Source organism: Homo sapiens, chromosome 5 (genome assembly GCF_000001405.40).
Source record: "Homo sapiens chromosome 5, GRCh38.p14 Primary Assembly".
NCBI classification, from domain to species: domain Eukaryota; kingdom Metazoa; phylum Chordata; class Mammalia; order Primates; family Hominidae; genus Homo; species Homo sapiens.
In genome coordinates, this window is record NC_000005.10 from 147,073,518 (window position 1) to 147,096,250 (window position 22,733).

The 22,733-nt window shown below is 37.2% G+C and overlaps 1 protein-coding gene across 4 annotated transcripts in view, besides 1 other annotated feature; it reads right to left on the reverse strand.

Moving 5' to 3' along the window:
* PPP2R2B (protein phosphatase 2 regulatory subunit Bbeta) overlaps positions 1-8,003 on the reverse strand; it is a 500,779-nt gene extending 492,776 nt beyond the window's left edge. For 2 of the 4 annotated variants that reach the window (NM_181678.2, NM_181677.2), the window contains exons 1-2: positions 7,805-7,953; positions 7,542-7,619 (exon numbers count right to left, since the gene is read on the reverse strand). Coding sequence is in view for 2 of the 4 variants with exons in the window: in NM_001271899.1 (NP_001258828.1) it covers positions 7,542-7,619; positions 7,740-7,749 (88 nt within the window). In the remaining 2 variants the exon portion in view is untranslated. Of the gene's footprint in view, positions 1-7,541; positions 7,620-7,739 lie in introns of all 4 variants that reach the window. The other 2 variants (NM_001271900.2, NM_001271899.1) reach the window with 2 other exon arrangements.
* Positions 20,423-21,622: an enhancer, noted in NCBI's record as "CDK7 strongly-dependent group 2 enhancer chr5:146473503-146474702 (GRCh37/hg19 assembly coordinates)". NCBI's record gives its function as "activates an origin of replication core promoter dependent on BRD2, BRD4, P300/CBP, MED14 and CDK7 cofactors, with strong dependence on CDK7, by STARR-seq in HCT116 cells {active_cell/tissue: HCT116}" and the evidence as "EXISTENCE:reporter gene assay evidence [ECO:0000049][PMID:35650434]".

Sequence of the window (22,733 nt, forward strand, 5' to 3'; positions counted from 1 at the left end):
GATCTCCACTTCTTTTTCACACACAGAGGGAAGGTTTTCACTCCCTTCAGTGCCCGAGGCAGAGAACTTGGCTGCACAGTATCTCACATTTATTGGCATTCTGGTTTCCTTTAAATGCACTCAAAACACCTTCAGATTTTCTATCTTCTCTGCTCTTAGAATTGCCCTCTGATGTAAGGAAAGAAAGAATAGAATTTCTCAATGTGTCTCTTGGATCAAACTATTAGAATTATTTGGGATGGGCGGGGCGTGGTGGCTCCCGCCTGTAATAGCACTTTGGGAGGCCGAGGCAGGCAGATCACAAGGTCAAGAGTTTGAGACCAGCTGGGCCAATATGGTGAAACCCCATCTTTACTAAAAATACAAAAAGTAGCCAGGGGTGGTGGCAGGCACCTGTAATCCCAGCTACTTAGGAGGCTGAGGCAGGAGAACTGCTTGAACCTGGGAGATGGAGGTTGCAGTGAGCCAAGATCGCGCCACTGCACTCCAGCCTGGGCGACATAGTGAGGCTCTGTCTCAAAAAAAAAAAAAAAGAATTATTTGGAATGCTTGTGAAATACACAGGTCCTTTGACTCCATCCCAGACCTAGTGAATCAGAATCTCTAGAGGTAGAATCTAGTAATATACATTTTAACACCATTCCCAGGGGATTCATATGCACAATAAGGTTGGAAAATTATTCAGTATCCTGCCTAAGGTCACTAAGTGGGTAACTGAACCAAGTTTAAAGTGAGAGATTATCTGATTACAAATTGGTGCCTAATTAAAAATCCTCTTGAGTTGTTGATTTAGAAAGCTTCTGTCCAAAAAGACAGGATTCCTTCTGCCTGAAATGGGAATTCTTTTCATTGCCAGCCCTTCACCCTGTATTCAGGAGCGGGAAGAGCAAGGCAAGTAGGGCTCCATTTTCTATCATTTAGGCTAAGATCTGTGGGGTGAAGTTATAATTATTGTAACTAAACATCTAAACATCTAAGAAAGCGTATTTGTCAATCACTGACATCTTTCTATAAAATGAGGTGAAGGCTACAAGTCTTTTTACTGCTTTGAGACAACCCAGTTGGTTTTTATTTATTTATTTTTTTTCTGGTGACAGCAAAGAGTCACAATCACTGAAGGGAAGCTGAAAAATCATTCTTATAATCTCGAATTTCTTAAACATCCATGCAAAAGGAAACATTACTGCAAATGTTATAGTTAGAGGATTCCTCTTTGCAAGGAAGTCACAGTTGTTGGCTTTTACTTTAGGGTATATGAAATACACCTCACATCGACAGTCAAATTGATGTTTTTCTCTCATTAGAAAGCAGAATCGATAGAGTACCTCATCCTTCCCTCTACATGAGTGATCTTTTCAGAGGGAGGGAAGGAAAAAATGTGATGCCCATGTAGCAAAACAGAATAAATGCCACAATTATTTCCCATGAATAAGATGAAGTGACCTATGTTGACAGACATCAAAGAACTGCAGAGTGAGGAACAAACAAAGCACCCTAGAATTGCAGTATCAGAAAGAAAATGGTTATATGCTGTAGCTGGGATAAAAACAGAAACTGCACCAGATAATTCTTTTTCCCTTGTACAAAATCAGACACCAAGTCTCAAGAAGTTATCTGATATCGAGTGGGAAATTTTTACCATATAAAGTACTTCTAATGAGGAAATAATGTAAAATTTCATGCAATGAAATCATATGTTATATGAAATATGCCTGCTAAGCAAATCAAATACAAGCATTGCACACGGTAAATCAGAACTTTTAAATGTGTAAGTGTCTTGCAATAACTCAACTAAGTCAAGAATGTTTAGATGGCATCCTAACCACCAGCATAACAGTGTAAGTTTAGGTCATCAACAAATTGTTTGTTGACTGCATGTCCACATGATCTGCATAAGTTATGTGATCTCATTCAGTTCATTGGTGCCAAATACCATCTGCATGCTGAGGCCTCCTCAGGTTCTATCTCTATCTCTGAGATTGTCTCTCTAAGACATATATATGACTCATATATATACATACAACTTCCTTCTTGATGTTTATACCTTTGTACCTCATAGCTACTTCCTATTAATTGTGTTCAAAATGAAGCTCATGATTTTTCTCCCCAAATATCTTTCTTTTTCAGGTTTCCCAGTGTTAGTAACGGTGTCCACCAACCACCCAATTGTTCAAAGCTAAAACCTGAAAACTATCTTAATTCCTTAGTTTACTTCTCCCCTAAAATCTAGCCTATTGCCTCCAAAACATGCCTGGAGCCTGTTATCTCTTCATCTGCACCTTCTCCACTCTAATAAAGCCACATTGTCTCTCATCAGACTTCCTATAAAGCCCAAGGAATACTATTTTTGAGAATGTGTCCCAGGGATATAATCACAGTAGCTAATCATGATTAGTGAATAATGTCTATGTGTTATGTTGTTTAAAATATATTTCTAATTATATTATCATAAGAATTCTTCAATAGCTTTATTATCCCAATTTTACATATCAGGAAATAGAATCATGAAAAATTTGAGGTAACTTACTCCATTCCCATAAGTAGTGAAGCTAAATTTGAACCAGGTATTTTTAACTGTGCAACATATGCTCTTAATCACTATATCACACTGCGTTTCCTGGATAAATGTAAAGATTTTACTATTAGGTGTTCATAACAATGTTATAAATATTGAAAATCTAGGTAAATAAACTAGGGTATATGTACCTCTTATTGTATGAAAGATGATCCTATATATTGTTAAGTAAAAACATCAATTTACAAAATAGTATTTCCATTATGACTCCATTTTGGTAAAAAAAAAATTGATATTGTCTGGTGTAAACTAACCAATTCCTTGCACAGTATTTGACACACAGTACTTGTTTCTTGAGTGAATCAATTAATGATCATATATGCATAATCAAGAGGTTAGAAAAATATAAACTTTTAACAGTGCTGATCTGTGGGTTGTAGGTTTATGAATGACATTTATTTTCTGATTTTTATTGGTTAAATTTAAACTTTTCTACACTGAGAATATATTGTTTAAGTAATCAGAAAAATAAAAGAATAAACATTATGTTTTTAAAAATTATTTAAGGTTTGTCTTAAAATGGTTTCTTCCCACAAGTCTATTTTGCTCCACCAAATTTTGTGTGATATTCCTACCTCTTTGGTAGTCTGAGCATTGTAGTCTTTAGCCTAAGCACTTTTATCTGTAGCTCATTTTACCTTGTGTTCTATTTGATGTGATGCTTTACTCTTCTGGGCCATGCTCTGTCTCCTCTTCAGTGGTGCATTTCTTGAGAGCTTGGACTATATTTGATTTATCTTTACAACCCTCTCACTTTCTGAGACAGTACCCTGGATATAGTAAGCACTCACTAAATGCTTATTGTTGAACTCACAGTATCATTCATTTAAAGTCCTATAGAATAATTTGACATGTGAAGAAATTCTAGTCTGCTACTTGATACCCAAGATGCACATAAGTATCTTGCACCAAGATGCAATTTGAACATCTTATAACAATCTATTGGTAATGGCCTGATATATATATACAATACATATATATTACATACATATGTATTATATATGTATAATATATAATATGTAATATTGTATATTGTATATGTATTATATGTATAATATTGTATATTGTATATTATTATATATGTATAATATTGTATATTATATATTATATATGTACAATATACACATATGTATGCATAAATATAATATATACATATACGTTATACATATATGTATGTGTGTATACACACACACACACACACACACACACACACACACACCCACACCCACACCCCTAGCCCTTATAGCCATAATGGGTAACTATACGATTATCCCCATTCCACACCTGAGGAAAACTGAAGCATGGAGACATTAACTTGCCAAGGTAACTGGCTAGTAAGTGATAGAACTGAAATAGAAAAAGCCATTAATAGGAATAAGTAACATGGAAGGGAAAGCTGAATAATTTTTATTGACTTTGAGCGTATAGAAAATTAGGGTAGATTATGCCAATTAAACCCCTTCACTTTCCTTTCAACCAGATTTTTAACTAGTAGCAAGTGAAAGTCATTTATTAATTCACTCAACAAATACTCAACTTCCATTGAGGCAGTGCTAGTGGAGGTTAAATGACATCTAAGATATGTTGGCCAGGGAACCTCCATGCCAGTGGCTGTGTGTTTGTGACCAACCTAATTCTTCTTTTTAAAAAGTTTCTGCCTGTATTCACTATTTTAAAGTGCACTTTCCAAACAAAATAGGGATTGTCATTTTGATCCTGACTCTGACCCAATTGACAGTCAGTTCAAGCAGGCTACTTTTGTATTATGCAACACAAACATTTCAACCTATCTTCAGTTCACGTGTATTCATAATGATCGTCTAAGGGCATATGTGTAAAATGCACATTCCAGGCCCTCATTCTAGACTACTAAGTCAGAGTCTCTATTTTCAAAACAATGTTTAAAGAGCAGGGGCTTTGGAGTCCCAAAGACTGGGTTTGAAAACTGTCTCACCCATTTATAAGCTATAGTGCCTTTGGCAATGTACTTAATATTTTTTGTTTGTTTGCTTGACTTCAATATCCTCATAAGTAATGTAGGAATAAAAATTCTTACCTGTCATAAGGTTTTGGTGAACACTAATTTAGAATGAGGGTCTAATTATAATATTTATATTAATAGCTTACAAATATCGAGTACTTACAAAGTATTGAGCACTGACGCCAATGCTGTATCTGTATTATCTTATTAATTTGTCTTAAGCAAATAATAAACCTGCAACTGGTAAGACCTATAGTTAGAGCAGACACTAGAATTCTCATAATTGATGGGAAGCCAGTCACAACGACAAGATTTAAGTGCAGAGTAAGAGAATAATGGATTACTTGGAACAAGTCATCTAGACTTGTGGTGCCCAAAGCCAGTCCACAACATCAGAATTAACTGGGTAAACTCATTAAAACACATTGTATTGGCCAGGCGCGGTGGCTCACGCCTGTAATCCCAGCACTTTGGGAGGCCAAGGCAGGCGGATCACGAGGTCAGGAGTTCGAGACCATCCTGGCTAACACGGTGAAACCCCATCTCTACTAAAAATACAAAAAGAAATAAAAATTAAAAAAAAATAAGCTGGGCATATTTGGTGGGTGCCTGTAGTCTCAGCTACTTGGGAGGCTGAGGCAGGAGAATGGCGTGAACCCAGGAGGCAGAGCTTGCAGTGAGCCGAGATCATGCCACTGCACTCCAGCCTGGGTGGCAGAGCGAGACTCCGTCTCAAAAAAAAAAAAAAAAAAAATTGTATCACCCTGACCCTTGAAACTCTAACTTAGTAGCTCTTGGAGACCTCAGAGTCTCTATTGTTTAAAAAGTTCAAATGATTTTGAATCATGGCCAAGATTTAAAACAAGGCATTCACTTGAGCTTCATTTTCTTAAGATCCATAAGGTTAGAGAGTAGGTCATTTTTTTCTTTCTTTTTTAAAAAAGTTTCTAATGTCTAGCACAGTGCTGTCATGTAGAAGACACTCAAAAATCTTCTTTTAGGTGACATAAAATGGGATTGATAATTTTCTATCTGTCTTCATAGGGGCTTTAGAAGGATCTTTTGTAAGGCTCTATTTGACAATTCATCTCAAAAATAGATGAGTTTATATACAAATATAATTTTAGATTCAGTAATCCCACTACTGATTCTATATTTAAATAATAAAATCAGTACATAGAAGAGAAATCTGCTCTCCCATGTTTATTGCAGCTCTAGTCACAATAGGCAAATTATGAACTCAACCTAAGTGTTCATAAACAGATGAATAGATACATACAGTGATATATATATATATATAATATGTGATATAAAATGGGATATATAATATATATAATATACACACAAACACACACACATTTTATATATATACATATATATATATATATATATATATACATGTGCAATGGAATATTACTCAGCCATAAAAAAGAATAAAATCCTGTCATGTGGCAACATGGATAAACCTGAAAGGCATTATTAACATAGTTCACTTAATAGTGAAATAAGCCAGGCACAGACAGACAAATACCACATGTTCTCAGTCATATCAGGAACCTAAAAAAGTTGATCTCATAGAAGTAGAGAATAGTGAATAGTGGTTACCAGAGGCCTGGGAGGGTGGTAGGAAGATGGAAAGAGATTAGTCAATAAGTATAAAGTCATAGATCTGAGGAATAAGTTTTGTTCTATAGCACAGTAGGGTGACTATGGTTAACAATATCATATGGTATCTCTCAAAACAGCTAGGAGAGAGGATTTTGAATCTTCTCACCACAAATAAATGATAAATATATGAGGTAATGGATATGCTAATCATCTTGGTTTGATATCATTACACAATATACACATATCAAAACATCACACTGTACCTTATAAATATGTGCAATCGTATCAATTTCTTTTAAATATAATTTTATATGGATTTATTTATTAATTTTAGTGTGTTTTCTCCCACTTTGTAAACATAGAGTATTTGGTTTTTGGTCACCCACTATTAGATTCTCTACAAAGGAATTATAGCAAGATTTTAAATAAACTGCCTCTTTCAAATTCCTCAGATTAATCTTTGCTTGAATTACTTTTTACTCAGAATTGAAGTGCTGCAGAATGACCTGAAGTTCACATGCATTTATGCATGTTAGTTTGAGTATAGTGTTCAATCCTGTCAACTGTTCACTTCATCATTCTTTAAAACTAGTTTTAGACCTGTGTTATACCACATCTGGAATCTAAACCTACCATCAAAGCAGCAAAATCTGTTTCAGGCAAGCCCTACTGCATTCTGCTAGAAGAGCTAAACCGTGATTTAAAATACCCAGAAGTGCTATTCTAGTTCCTTCCAATTGCCTATCATCCAGTGTTTTGTAACGCAGACACCCTTAGGGAGAGTCATGGAGGTCTCCAAGCCCAGGCTTATAAAAGAAGAAAATAAAGAAAATTAAAAAGTTCTTCAGGAGGAGGAAAACTAATGCATTATCCCAGGTAAAGGGCCCTGGAATAGGAAAGTCTCCTGAGAACCAGAAAGGCAATTATATGCTAAGATTGGGATTCAATGTTCTCGTAAGTCATATGACTAGACTTGACTTCTTCAGTCTCCCTCTGCACTTCATGTATTGCCAATGGTCCTCCACATAGAATGAAAGGGAGAGAATTATGGCTGAAAGTCTTAAAATGTCTGGACTCAGAATTCTACAGCGCTGACAGATCATCCTGAAACAAGGCTTGCCTAGTTTAGCCTCTGTCTCTGCAAATCTACTTTACTGAAAGTTCATTTCAGTGCCGCTCATTGGTAGGAATAAAATAAATTTCAACAGAAAAAAAAAACAGGAGAGAAAGAAGTTATTAAATCCATTTCTAGCCTAGAATGCAATTTTGGGGTGTGTGGGGACTTAGATTCATGAAAGTAAAGATGAAAGTTTTTAATTTTGAAATCAGCACAAACTCCCAAGGAGGCAAGGAAAAGGGCATGGGGATTTCTCCTACCTTCTGTGGTTCCAATCTCGATAGTGCCTTTCACTTGGCTGAAGCACCATAGTGTGTCCTGGGTGAGTGTCCCAATTCCTGAAAACAACACAAGGAGACACTTCAGGTTAGGTAAGAGCTCCCAGTTGTTCTTAAGAGACCAACAAGAAAAGAAATATATAGCAGAATCTATGCATTTCTAAAAGGAGACTTGCACACCAGGTATCATCTCGTCAGAGAAGAGACCCTAGTGAGTCCTGAGAGGACGGTCAGTCTGCAAGTACCACGTCCTGCTGTGAATCACTGCTCTGTCTCCTCCGTTTGACCAGGCCAGGACCAGTTTGAACTGGAGCAATTGGAGTTTGTCCCTTCTCAGGCCCTGGCAGCGTCCTGGAGTGGTTACGAAGGACTTGCAGTCATCCCCTGTGTGACTGGCCCTTTTCACGGGAATACTAATGCTTTTGATTGTTTTCCTTCTGTGATGGTGGGGAAGAGAATGAGGCAGTTCGTTAAGGGGTGAGAGGAAAAGAAAGGCAACATTTTTTTTTTAAACTGGGCTTCACAGCTTGCATGGTTGAGCGGCCAGTAAGGGGTCAGATACCCAGAGCACTTCCATCTCTCTTGTTCACTTCTTGACTGCTTGCCAAAGTCAGGCTGACTGCAGAGTAGGGAAAAACAAAAAAAAAACAAGGCTGGGGATGGGGCGGGGTGGCTCACACAGAGTTTGGGAGTCAGTTTCTGACAAATGTGGCCTATTTTGTTCCAAGGTTATTTTTGTTTCAGATCCAGTTGGACATTTGATGGGGCTAAATGTTCTGGGTAATAGTGACTCCTGGTTTCTACAAATATATGTAGCCAATACTAATGAATATATCAATACATATATTAAGAGATATTCTAATTCCTTTACATATTCAAAAGAGTCCTTTACAGAACACTTCTGGATAGCAGGGGTGCCAGTTTTCTTCTCAACAGCATGAACATTCCCCTTCAATTCAACTAGGTTTCAAAATTCAAGAGAATATTGCAGAATCAAATTTTGGGAGATGGTATGAATTTAAGAATGATTAAATTCAGTAGGAAAAAAACCACAAAGTTTCAAAAACAAATTGACCTTTAAAAATGCACAGGGATCTGAGTAGTCATTTTCATTGTCAGCCATAGATTTTTATTGAATTCCTATACGGAAACCTTCATCTGCTTAGCCACACGAGAGGAGCATTGCCTCTCATATGCTCTTCTCAGTGTTGTTGACGGGTTATCTGATGGAAGTAGTATAGAGTCATCATTAAAAGTAGAGACTTTGCAATTAGGCAGGGTTTATAGTTGGGCTCTGACTTGGGACAAGTTTCTAAGCATAATGAGACAGTTTCCTCATCTTAAATGGCAATAATAATGGTACCCATCTCTCAGAGTTGTGGATGTTGAATATGATTAGCACAGTCAAGAAACTTAATAATGGATATTAGTAGTAGTAAAGATTGATTCTAAAGTGTTTCATACTAAAAAAAAAAAAGAAGAACATTGGCTGAGAAAATTTCAGGCACTGTGGTAAGCACTTGACTTAGAGTAACTCCATTCTTACATAAATCATGGGGAGGGCATTATTATCATCCCCACTTTACAGGGGAGGAAACTGAGACTCAGGAATTTTTGGTAACTCCCTCAAGGACACACCTAGCGCATGGCTAGGTTGAGATTTCAATCAAGCCTGTCTGACTTGCAGTATTCCCAGTGTGTAGAGGTTGGATACCCATTTGACAGTTTGGGCCCTTTAGCCCAGTAAGGCTTCACAGCAAGAATCTCATTTGGAAGGCTGAGCTGGAATACAGTTTCAGATATCAAGTAGTAAAGTATCAATGTCTCCTTTGAGATGACACAGGGCTAAAACTTCCTAATAAAATTAGCACCTAGAAGGGGAGAAGGAAGGCCTTTAGCAGCATTTATTAGTGCATAGACAGACACACCCACAGTGCTGATCCTTGCTTATACTTTCTGTTCTGGCCTTGGATTCCAGCATCAGACATTCTTTGACAGGTTCTTACCCTACCTTGTGAGTTGTCAGTGACCCTCTCTACACTGAGTCAATTCTGCTGTTGAGATCTGAGACACATCTGTCTTAGGGAACATTAGCTATAGATGAGATTTCTCCCCAGTTTTTGTCCTGGCACAGTTCCTATATCAATAGTTATGATTCTGGATGTAGATGCTGTTTCTATTTTCACTAAACATGTACTTTAAAGCAAGCAGACATATGCAACTCTGAAACACATACATGCATACATACAAACCTAGGCATATTTAAATATGAGCCTATGTCTAGATATTTGTACTACTTCAGAGAATTTTAGCTCTAGGAGGAACCTGGCTTATGTGTGAAATTAATTTATTTCACATCTGAAAAACCCAAATCATGGAAGTTACTGACTTGGTGAATTCACTAGGAATAATGTGACCAATTCACATACCAATGCCAGTTCCTGATGTTTACTCATAGATAGGGTTGCCCAGAGGCATAAGCTCGTTGATGAGAGTTGGTTGATTACTGTGAGGGTTCCAGGCAGCCAAGATATTGTCAGTGTTTTTGTCCAAGGCAGGCTTCCACTGGACCCAATTTCTGTCTCCCACCAATATTATTGCCAAATGAGGGAATTAGTGATGCAAAGAAAGTTTGGACCATGCCATTTCTTTCCTAAAAGTGCTAAGCAGCCGCTGAAAACACAAATGCCTGGATGGATTAGGATGTAAATGAGACAAGCTGTCCAGGTGTCAGATATTCAGTGATTTGACACTTGATCTCAGTCTGTGATCATCTCAAAAGTGGCAGGAATGAAGGAACTGGAGGATTCAGGCTTTGCCTGAAGGTCAGCAGCTATTCAGCTCCAGCTAAATGTTGCCATGAAAAATTTCAGCCCAGTGTGACCAGATTGGCTGATATTTTTCAGAAGAGGCCAGAAATCTGGATTATTATGTGAATAATCCAAATGTTCAAATAACTCCAAATTTTTTAATGTTATCAGTAAGTTCAAATTAGAAGACTCACACAGCATGGCTCACACAGCATAGGGCAAACATCATATCTGCAGGCTGAATATTGTCTTGGTGCCACCAATTTTTAAATCTCTGGTTAGAATATTTGTGCTGAAAGACACTTTAAGTAATACCTAGCTCATGCTTACCATTTCACAGATTAGGAAGTAGGGCCCTATGAGGGAAAAGAACTTACAACAGTTGCAGACCTTCAGTTACTTCAGTTGCAGACCTAGGACACCAAGGGGCCAAATCCAATTCTTATACCAGATTCCCTTTTACCACCAGGCTACCTGTCATGGCAATGGTTTGGCAAGATATCTGTCTATATTAAATGAATGCTCTTTGGGGAAGTGTATTTGATTGCTAAAGTGGGATGGTTGGGAGAATTATACCAACATAGAAAGGAAAATTTGTTTCTCTTAAATGACAGACCTTGAGAGCTTCCCTAAACCCCAGTGTTAAATGACACCTCATTGGCTATGGTAATGGTGTCCACAAGCAACATTCCCTACCAGGAGGCTGATGCAGATCCAGTGGCGAAACATCTTGGAAGGTGCTCATGCTTTTCTCCTCCACAGCTCAAAAGGGCCCTGAGTCTCACCTACTGAATGGTTGGAAGCACAGCCCGCAGATGGCATGCATGTATCTTATCTCTAGGCTCATGGAATAGACAACTTCTGAATCTGGTCAGCCCTTGGAGATCACTTGGTCCAATGGCCTCATTTAAAAGCAGAGGACACAGAAGCCCAAAAGGGGCATGGCCACACACTGAGTTAACAGCAGAGTTGGAGCCAGCCCAGGGCTCTGATGTCCTGCACAGGGCCCTTCAGAGTTGAGGCTGGCCTTTGTGCGGCCTCTTTTGTGCCAGCTCAGCTTTGTGAATACAATGAACAGAGGGTGTGACATGCAGCAAATAAAGCTCCTTATTGATTGGGAGGTGACTGTAAAGAGTTATTTTCAGGGGCTTTGTGCTAGCAGTGTGCTTCTCTCTGCAGAGAGAGGGAGAGGGAGAAAGAGAGAGAGAGAGAGAGAAAGAGAGATCCTTGCCCAGAAAAATTTTCTCTGAGAGAAATCTAATTTAAAATTGATTATGTTATAGGCTATAAATGTATATTCACCACATAGAAAGAGCCTTAATGGTGCAATCCTCTCTGTTTTTATGAGGATACTGCAATAACTTATGGCAGGCACTTAGTGTGAAATATGAATGAATGTCTTGCTGACACATCAGCCCCAATTTGGTGTAGAAATCTTTCCATCAAGGAAGCTGAATTTCTAAAAGGACAGACTTAGGTACTCCAGAGACAGTTAAAAATAAGGTCTTCAGACTTCAGTGAAAAAGAGAGGCTTTTATTTTTTACTTTCCACCTCTATACCCCGTATATTGCTTGATATTTAGCAATTGCCACTGCGTTTAGTAAAGACAGGCCACTTGTGTATCCCCAATTTGCCAGAGAGCTCATAGAACAGAAACAAGCAGAGATAGTAAGCACATCAGGTTTTAAAGTGAAACGTTTCCTTTGCACGGGATCCATCATTAGAAACATTACGGAAAAACCATCATTGGATCATTTTGCTGGGTGTAGTTCACTGGAGGATTTCGATTGGCAACCAGAAAAATTGTTAATTGGCTAAACTGACCATCACAACAGTTCGTTTACTGGAAGAAAGGGAAGGGAGGTGGAAGGAAGTGGATACATTTGGCAGATTACTAAGAAGGTAGTATCAATTAGGGATTTGTGGTGATTTGCAATAGGAATGAGGAAGGGAAGAAGTGAAGGAATCTTGGACTATTGGTGAGACAGTGGAGCTACTCATTCTTTATTGAGCTTTTGATCCCATATCCTAATAATTTACTGAACAAAGGAAAGTTTTTATACTCTCAAAAAAATAATGATGCTGCAAAGTTTCTCATTAGAAATCTCACCGTATTTTACAAATCAAAGGAAATGAAGGTACCTAATATCCTCAAACAGATCTGTGTAAATATCTGTATGGTAGATACTGAGAAAATGAGAAGACACATTATTTCTTGCCTAATGCATCCTAGCACAGCATTTTGGAGTGTAATTTAAAAGTATCCAAGATTGAAAGACTGTATTTTACTCTTCTCCGTATATACAATTATTATTTTTTGATAGTGTTCTACTATTTATAGTAAGGTTTTAATAAATAGTTAATATAGTCCTTTCCACCCTTTCTTTTTAAAAAGCTTTTGAAGGTATAATTGACATTTAATAAATGGGAGATACTTAAGGTGTGGAATTTGACAAATTATGACATGTATACCATCACCTTGAAACCATCATTCCAATCAATATAATAAACATAACCAACTACCAAAACATTCCTCATGCCTTTTTTTTTTTTTTTTTGAGATGGAGCCTTGCTCTGTCACCCAGGCAGAGTGCAGTGGCGTGATCTCAGGTCACTGCCACATCTGCCTCCTGGGTTCAAGCGAAGGGGCCTCAGTCCCACAAGTAGCTGGGATTACAGCCACATGCCACCACACCCGGTTAATTTTTGTATTTTTAGTATACACGGGGTTTCACCATGTTGGCCAGACTGGTTTCAAACTCCTGACTTCAAGTGATCCACCCACCTCGGCCTCCCAAACTGCTGGGATTACAGGCATGAGCCACTGCATCAAGCCCTTTTCATAATCTTTTTTAGCCCTTTGTCTTGCCCATACTTCTCCTTCCCCCTAATCTCAGGCACCTCTGATTTGCACTGTATCTATAGTCTGTATTTTTTGTAATTTTATACAAATGCAATCCTATGGTATGTACTCTTTTTTTTTTTGCTTCCTTTGATCAGCATTGAGATCAATTCCTGTTTTTGCATGTATCAACTGTTCATTTCTTTTTATTGTTGATTTGCATTCCTTTTTTTTTTTTTTTTTTTTTTTGAGACAGAGTCTTGTTCTACTGCCCAGGCTGGAGTGCAGTGGCATGATCTTGGCTCACTGCAACCTCTGCCTCCTGGGTTCAAGTGATTCTCCTGCCTCAGCCTCCTGAGTAGCTGGCATTACAGGCGCGTGCCACCACGCTTAGCTAATTTTTGTATTTTTAGTAGAGATGGGGTTTCACCATGTTAGTCAGGCTGATCTCGAACTCTTGACCTCATGATCCACCCGCCTTGGCCTCCCAAAGTGCTGGGATTACAGGCATGAGCCACCACGCCCAGCCTGATTTGCATCCCATTATATGGATATACCATAATTTGTTTATTCATTTACCTTAATTTAGGTTGTTTTCAATTTTTGGCTATTACAAACAAAACTACTAGAAACATTTGTGTATGCTTTTACTTTTCTTGGGAAAATACCTAATAGTAGGATGGCCAGGTCATATGATAAGCATGTATCTAACATTTTAAGAAATGCCAAGCTGCTTTGTTTTTTCCAACTGATTTTAGGTTGATGGGGTACATGTGCAGGTTTGTTGCATGGGTAGACTGCATGTCACTGGGGTTTGGTGTACAGATGATGTCATTATCCAAGTAGTGAGCATGGTATCCAGTAGGTAGTTTTTGAAACTTCATGTTTCTCCCAGCCTCTACCTCCAAGTAGGCTCCAGTGTCTTCTGTGCCCACCGTTGTGTCCACGTGTACTCAGTGTTTAACTCCTATTTGAAAGTGAGAATATGCGGTATTTGGTTTTTTGTTCCTGTGTTAATTCACATAGGATAATGGTCTCTAGCTCTATCCATGTTGCTGCAAAGGACCTAATTTTGTTTTTATGGCTGCATAATATTCCATAGCGTATATATACCATATTTTCTTTATTCAGTCCACTGTTGATTGACATCTTGGTTGATTCCATGTCTTTGCTATTGTGAATAGTGCTACAATGAACAAGTGCACATGTCTTTTTGGTAGAACAATTTATATTCCTTTGGGTATTTACCCAGTAATGGGATTTCTGGGTCAAATGGTTATTTTAAGTTCTTTGAGACACCTCCAAACTGCTTTCTTTCCACAGTGGCTGAAGTAATTGACATTCTCACCAGCAGCGTATAAGCATTCCTTTTTCTCTGCAAACTTGCCAGCATCTGTTATTTTTGACTTTTTAATAATAGCTATTCTAACTGGTGTGAGATGAGATCTCAGATCTCATTGTGGTTTTGATTTGCATTCTCTAATGATTAGTGATATCGAACATATTTTCATATGCTTGTTGGCCACATGTATGTCTTCTTTTGAGAAGCGTCTGTTCATGTCCTTTGCCCATTTTTTAATGGGGTTTTTTTTGCTTAAGTTCCTTATAAATTATGGATATTAGACTTTTGTTGGATGCATAGTTTTTGTATATTTTCTCCCATTCTGTAGATTGTCTGTTTACTCAATGGTTTCTTTTGCTATGCAGAAGCTCTTTAGTTTAATTAGGTTCCACTTAGTCTATTTTTGTTTTTGTTGCAATTGCTTTTGGTGACTTCATTATGAAATCTTTACCAAGGCTTATGTACAAATGGTATTTCCTAGGTTTTCTTCTAGTGTTTTTATAGTTTCAGGTTTTATATTTCAATCTTTAACCCATTTTGAGTTGATTTTTGTATATGTGAAAAGAAGGGGTCTAGTTTCATTCTTCTGCATATGGCTAGCCAGCTATCCCAGCACCATTTATTAAATAGAGAATCCTTTCCCCATTGCTTGTTTTTGTTGACTTTGTCAAAGATCAGATGGTTGTAGGTGTGCAGCTTTATTTCTGAGTGCTGTAATCTGTTCCATTGTTCTACATGTCTGTTTTTATACCAGCAGCATGCTATTTTGGTTACTGTATCCCTGTAGTTACAGTTTGAAGTTCAGTAGTGTGATGCCTCCAGTTTTGTTCTTTTTGCTTAGAATTGCTTTGGCTATTTGGGCTCTTTTTGGTTCCATATGAATTTTAGAATGGTTTTTTTCCTAATTTTGTGAAAAATGTTGTTGGTAGTTTGATGGGAATAGCATTGAATCTGTAAATTGCTTTGGGCAGAATGACCATTATTACAATATTGAGTCTTCCTATCCATGAGCGTGGAATGTTTTTCATCTGTGTGTGTTGTCTCTGATTGTTTTCAGCAGTAGTTTGTAATTTTCATTGTAGAGCTCTTTCACCTCCCTGGTTAGCTGTATTCCTAGGTATTTTATTCTTTTTGTGGCTATTGTAAATGGATTGTGTTCATTATTTGCCTGTCAGCTTGAAAGTTTTTGGTGTATAGAAATGCAACCAATTTTTGTACACTGATTTTGTATCCCGAAACTTTACTGAAACAAAACTTTTTCAAAGTGATTGTGTCACTAGCATGTATGAGAGTTCTAGTTTCTCAACATTCTCACCAACACTATATGGTCAAAATTTTTAAGGTTAGCCACTCTACACTATTCACAATAGCAAAACTTGGAACCAACCCAAATGTCCATGAATGATAGACTGGATTAAGAAAATGTGGCACATATACACCATGGAATACTATGCAGCCATAAAAAATGATGAATTCATGTCCTTTGTAGGGACGTGGATGAAGCTGGAAACCATCATTCTGAGCGAACTATCACAAGGACAGAAAACCAAACACCGCATGTTCTCACTCACAGTGGGAATTGAACAATGAGAACACTTGGTCACAGGGTGGGGAACATCACACACCGGGTCCTGTCGTGGGGTAGGGGGAGGGGGGAGGGATAGCATTACGAGATATACCTAATGTAGATGATGAGTTAATGGGTGCAGCACACCAACATGGCACATGTATACATATGTAACAAACCTGCAGGTTGTGCACATGTATCCTAGAACTTAAAGTATATATAAAAAAAAGATTAGCCACTCTACTAGAAATGTGTGGTATGCTACTGTGTTTTAAATATTCATTCCCCTAAATGACTATCATTTTTCTACTTATTTGCCATCTATATTTCTTCTCCTTCTTGCCTTGTTTTATTGTCTAAAACCTGCTGTAAAAATTTTAATAGAAGCACTGCACTTAGGCATCCTTAATTTGTTCCTGATTTGAGGGTAAAAGCATTCAGTTTTTAAGATTCAGTATGATGATAATTGTAGATTCTTCACAGATGGGTTTATCTGTTTACCTACTTAAGAAGTCCCATTCTATTTCTAATCTAGTAAGTTTTTCTCAGGAATACTTGTTTGATTTTGTCAAATCTTTTTCCTGCATCTAGTGAGATGCTCATTTTTTTTCCTTTAAAAATGCGTTTATGTAGAGAATTACGTGAATTGAACTTTGAATGTTAAAGCAATCTTGCATTGGGTTATGGTATATTATCCTTTTCTATATTGTTGGATTCTATTTGTTAAAATTTTATTTAGAATTGTTGCATTTATACTCTTGAAAGTAATAGGTATCAAGGAATGCTTCTCCCATAGAATAAGTTGGGAATTATTTGCCCCTCTTGAATGTTCTGGGAAGTTTGTGTATAATTGTTGCTCTTTCTTTCTTAAATATATGAGAGAATTCACCAGTGAGTCATCTAGGCTTGATGTTTCTTTGCATGTGGTTTTTAATTATAAATTCAATTTCCTTAATAGACATAATATTTTCAGGTTATCTATTTTTTCTTGAGTGGCTTTGGTAATTTGTGTCTTTTTAAGGAACTTCTGCATTTCATCTAAGTTTTCAAATTTACTGTTGTAATGTTGTTCATAATATTATTATAATTTTAATATCTGAAGACTCTGTAAAGATGTACCTCTTTCATTCCCAACATCGGTATTTTGTGTCTTTTATCTTTTCTTCCTAATCAGTCTGGCTACATCTTCCCAAAAAAACAAGACTTTAATTTTATCGATATTCTCTATTGTTTTTCTATTTTCTATCTCACTGATTTTCTCTCGGATCATTATTATTTCATTTCTTCTGCTTACTTTGGGTTTCATTTGTTTTTCATCTAGTTTCTTAAAGTAGAAGCTGAAGTCATTGATTTGAGACACTTCTTTCCTAATGTAGGCATTTAGTGCTATACATTGCTTGTAAAGTAGTGGCATGCCATAAATTTGGATATACTGGGTTTTTATTTTTATTTATTCAAAATAATTTCTAATTTTCCCTTTGAATTTTTCTTTGACCCTTGACTTATTTAGAAATATGTTATTTACTTCTGAAATCTTTGGGAGATTGTCCAGAGATCTTTCTCATTTTAATTTCTAATTTAATTCCAATATTGTCAGAGAACATGATTCGATTTACTTTTTAAAAATTTCACTGAGACATTTTATGGCCCAAAATATGGCTTATCTTGGTAAATACTCTGGATGTGTTCAAAAAGAATGTATATTCTGCTGTTGTTGAATGTTCTGTAAAGGCCAATTAGGTCAAGTCAGCTAATTGTTTGCTTAAGTCTTTTGTATCCTCACTGGTTTTCTGTTCCATCAATTGTTGTAAGAGGAATATTAAAATCTTATATAATTTGGGTTTATTTTTTCTTTTCACTTCAGTTAGTTTTTGAAGTTCTGTTGTCATATGCATTAACATATTTAGCATTGTTATTTTCTCCTGATAACCTGGTCCCTTTATCATTATGAAATGACTTCATCCTTGATAATATTCTTTGCTTTGAAATTCACTTTTATATTAATATAGCCATTCCAATTTTGTTTAGATTAGCATTAGCATGGTGTACCTTTTCCCAATCTTTAGCTTTTAACCTATTTGTACCTTTTAAATTATGTTTTCTGTGGGTAGCATAGAGTTGAATTTTGTTTTTTTAAAAAACCCAATATCTTTTATTTTATAAGCCTTTTAATTGAAGAGTTTATACTATTCACATTTATTGTGCTTATTGATATAGTTAGACTTAAATTCATTTTATTGTTTTTTACTGTGGCACCTTTTTTTGTTCCCTTTCACTGAATTCTTTTGGTATATTAGGTTTTTTTATGACTTCATTTTACCCACCTTTCTCGGTATTGAGCCACAGTTCTTAGTGGTGTTGTTTTAATGGTTGCTATAGGTTTTATAGTATTTATCTTTAAATTACCAGTCTGTCTTGTAGTGATTTTATACTACTTCATATATAGTACAAAAACTTTACAATAGTATATTTCGGTTTTTCCCCTTCCCATCTTTGTGATGCTGTGCAGTCTTCTGGCAATCCAAAGAGAAAGGACTATGGAGACCTCAGCCCTGTGTCTTTAAGCCACTGAGCAAATATAGCAATTGCCTCCCTCTAGCTTTTCACGTGACAAAGAAACAACAAAACTTCATTTGTTGAAGCCACTGCTTAGTCAGCTACAGCTGAATCCAATACCCCATATGCAAATGGAGAAAGGGGATATTATCTGTGTATAATTAAACATCATTTTTATTTCTTTCACAATATAAACCAAACAGTCATTTTTAGGTTTTGAAAAGGTAAAACAGTTCAGGACAACCCATTTTCCTCATCCTCTGCCTCACCACTTTCAACCTTTAACCAAAATTTCAAGTATCAAAGCACAATAGCACTATGCTAGAATTTATGTACAATATATTTACATCTCTGTTTATGGACTCTGAAATCCTTGAGGGCAAGATCTGTGTGTTATTTATCTTTGTGCCTTTAGAACTGAAAACATATCCTGGCACTTATTAGAAGATCAGGAAATTATTATTTGAATTACAATAGGAGAAGCAGCTCTTTAAACCCATAGTACAGGCTGTGTCCACAGGATACAAATCAGTGGTCAGATATGTGATATGACAGGCAAGCGGAAGGGAGCCAGGAGAGAGGACCAGCACTTTGTCATTGTACCAGTGTCTTGCTTCCTATAGTCCAGAAAACATCATGTGGCTCTACAGGGACAAAAGTGTCTTCTGGGTGCCTGAAGAAAACTACCTTACAAAAAGAAGCCTTAATAGATGCTTTAGCAAATCCTCCTCCACTTGCAGCATTTTCTGCCTATTAGTTACATTTCACCAAAGAGAGCAATCATATTAAAATATAGTTATCATACTTACTTAATATGGATACTTTAAAATATTTCACTTAAAAAGTCTCACTTAAAATGGATACTTAAAAATGGATATTTAAAATGGATACTGAATCATAAAATACAAGCCAAACAATGGCATGCTCATTTAATGGCAAAAAGCCAAAGAATGGCATGCTCATTTAATTTTGTTTTCTACTGTAATGATTATTCACTCATCAATTGTCTCAGATCTGGGGGTATGGTATTTTCTGGCCCATGGAGTCTAAACTCAACAGGAACCAGCAACAGCTCAAATCAGATTTCTTCTCTTGACTGTACATAAAGGTTAGACAAGATATCAAGGCATGAAACTCCCAAGTATTGCGTCATTGACAACTGAAATTGCCTAAGTGTGAGATCATACTTCTGCCCGAAAACTTGCAAGAATATCTTTGGCATGGATGTCAGTGGGATGACCAGATAAAATGGAGCCAATGAGATCAGGTGATTTTGACATTGTAAATTATTCTGTATTTTGTGATTTTATGTATTGGCAGCCATTCTCTTCAAATTACAGACACATACTCAATAAAAGTTGCTCACAGTGTGGAGTCTAGAGTATTTTAAGTAGATCAGAAAAAACTAGGGTTGAAAAACCCAGTTTTCCTGCAAGTTAGAGGGATGGATTTACAATGAGGATTTTAAAATGAAGGTTGAATTTGCAACCATTCATTTTCCACAAGCATGCCTAGACCACCTGATAAATAATACATTTTTGTATTATGCTTATAAAATATGCAAATGGGTAGAATTTGCAAATAAATGCCTTGAAGAATTTTTAAAACTTCAGAAGTAGCCTAATCCTAGGATTTGCAGCCTTCTTGTTTGTGAGGTTTTTATTTTATTTTGTGACAGCAGCCATCAATTCAATTAAACTATATGGAAAATAAAATTTGGTTGTTTGTGTTTTTTTTTTCCTTTCTGAAAGAAGAAAATGATCAAAATTTGGCAAAATGGGAAGCAAGACGCAATTTGCAAACAGGGAAATCAAACAGTGCCACATCAAAATAAGAGGGAAGGAAATCCAGCAGCTAAGCAGGTATAGCCTTACTTGTTATCTCTGTCCTTCACTCTCATTCTCAACATTCTTTCCTTGTGGTGGAAAAACGTAGATATGATTAGAAACTGCAAAGTTAGAAGCTAAAATAATGCTCTGACAGCAAACGGAAGGACAAGGTGAAAACTCAGAATCTGTAGGCATGGAAAATACTGCAAGAGATGGCCATTTCAAATATACTCCAAAGCAGCCTCTGGCAAACACCCAAGAATAGTAGGTAAGCATGACCAATATTAGCTTCTTATAAAATGAAGCTACAAATCCCCATGATGTATATGCCCACAGAGGTAACACAGATTAGAAACTTGCATACAAAAATGCATGAACAAGACTGCTGAATTGCCTTTACACGTTAGACATGTTTTCCAGCCCCGAAGCTACTGTCTGTTGAGGACATGCTCTGTGCTGGGCGAGATAAGTACAACTCAAATAGTCCTCACAACAGCCGCATGGCTTAGGTGTTTATAAGCAAAGAAACTAAAGCACAGAGAGGTTCAGGGGCTTGCCTGTGGCTAAGCGTGGCCAAGCTGGAATCAGAATTCAGGTCTGACTGAGGACTACTTGAGGGTGGAGGATGGGAAAAGGGAGTGAAGCAGAAAAAATAAGTATTGGGTACTAGGCTTAGTACCTGGGTGATGAAATAATCTGTACAACAAACCCCCATGACACGAGTCTACCTATATAACAAACCTGCACATATACTCCTGAACCTAAAATAAAAATTAAAAAAAATAAAAAAGAACCCAAGACAGAAAAAAAAAAATTCAGGTGTAATGATCCTAAAGCCAGCCCTTCTTCCTTATGATATCTTCATCAAGTGCCTCTGTTGCCAAACAGCAGATGGAACATCTGTGACCCCAATTCTGTCCTACATGTACAAGGGAAAGTTGCTGGTTAAAAGAAATCTCAGGAATCCTTTGGCAAATGAAGCATTCGTTAATAATGATAAATAAGTAAATTCAGATTTTTCTGAACTCTAAATACAGGCCAAGTACAAGAGGTGGCAGTCGAGAGGGGCATTACGGAGAAAATGCTCGTAGCCCATTTTTCAATGACCTGAATTTCTCCCCTCATATGTTTGTTCTTTCAGGCCACACAGTTCCCAGATAGAGGTAAACTTCTTTTCTGGCCGAAGCCCTGGTTACGGGAAACAGTGTCTTCTGAAACGACCAGGTGTGGGGAAAGCGTCAGCATGACTAGACATACCTGGCTCACCTGTTGAACAAGCCCCAGTGAACCAGATTCAGGAATATCAGCAGGGAGAGGAGCTTCTGGGGAAAATCCCAACATGCAGGGCATAAGCTGCTTTCTGTCTCCTACAGTTTTGTGCAAAGTACAATGCGTGAATAACAGAGAGTAGGAAGGACAATGAAAACAGCACGAGAGATGAAGCGACTGAATGTCATCGGAATTGTGCCCATTTCTCCAAGCTTTTGGGCTGATGTGGTACTGTTTCTTAATGCATCATTTATTTGTCTAATATATCATTCAAATATTTATCGAGGGCCAACTATGTTCAAGGCTGCGGGGATATGACAAGCAAGGATGTTGTTTTCATGAAACTTACATTCTAGGATAGACAGATAGACAATGATGAGATAGACAATGGCAGACAGACAATGATGAGATAAACATATATATGAGTTGTTAAGTAGTGGTAAGACCTATGAAGACAAAAGAAACTAGTTAAGAGGCAAAAAGTGCTACAGGGATACAAGTTTTCATAAGAAAGTCAGATAAGTCCCCTCTGAACAAGCAACGTTTGGATAGAGGCCTAAAAGAAGGGAGTGAGTGAGCCAGACAGCTAGGAGAAGACATCCCAGAGAGAGGGAACTATCAGTGTGAAATCCCTAAGACTGGTATGTGCTTGTGTCCCAGGAACATTAAGGAGGCTGGAGTGGCTGCAAAGAGGCAGGAGGGGAGCAGTAGGAGACAAAGACAGAGAGGCTACAGTGGCAATCAAAGCATGTCAGACAGCGCTTAAACACTCAGGACATTATCATTATAAGAATTTCTACCTTATTCTCTGAATAAGATGAGAAGCCACTGGGGACTTTTAAGAAAAGAAATCACTGGCTTCTGTGCAGAAAAGAAACAAGAGTGAAAACAGGAGGAAAAAAAAAAGTCACTAGGAGGCTAGTGCAATAATCCAAGTGAGAAATGGACCAGAATGGTA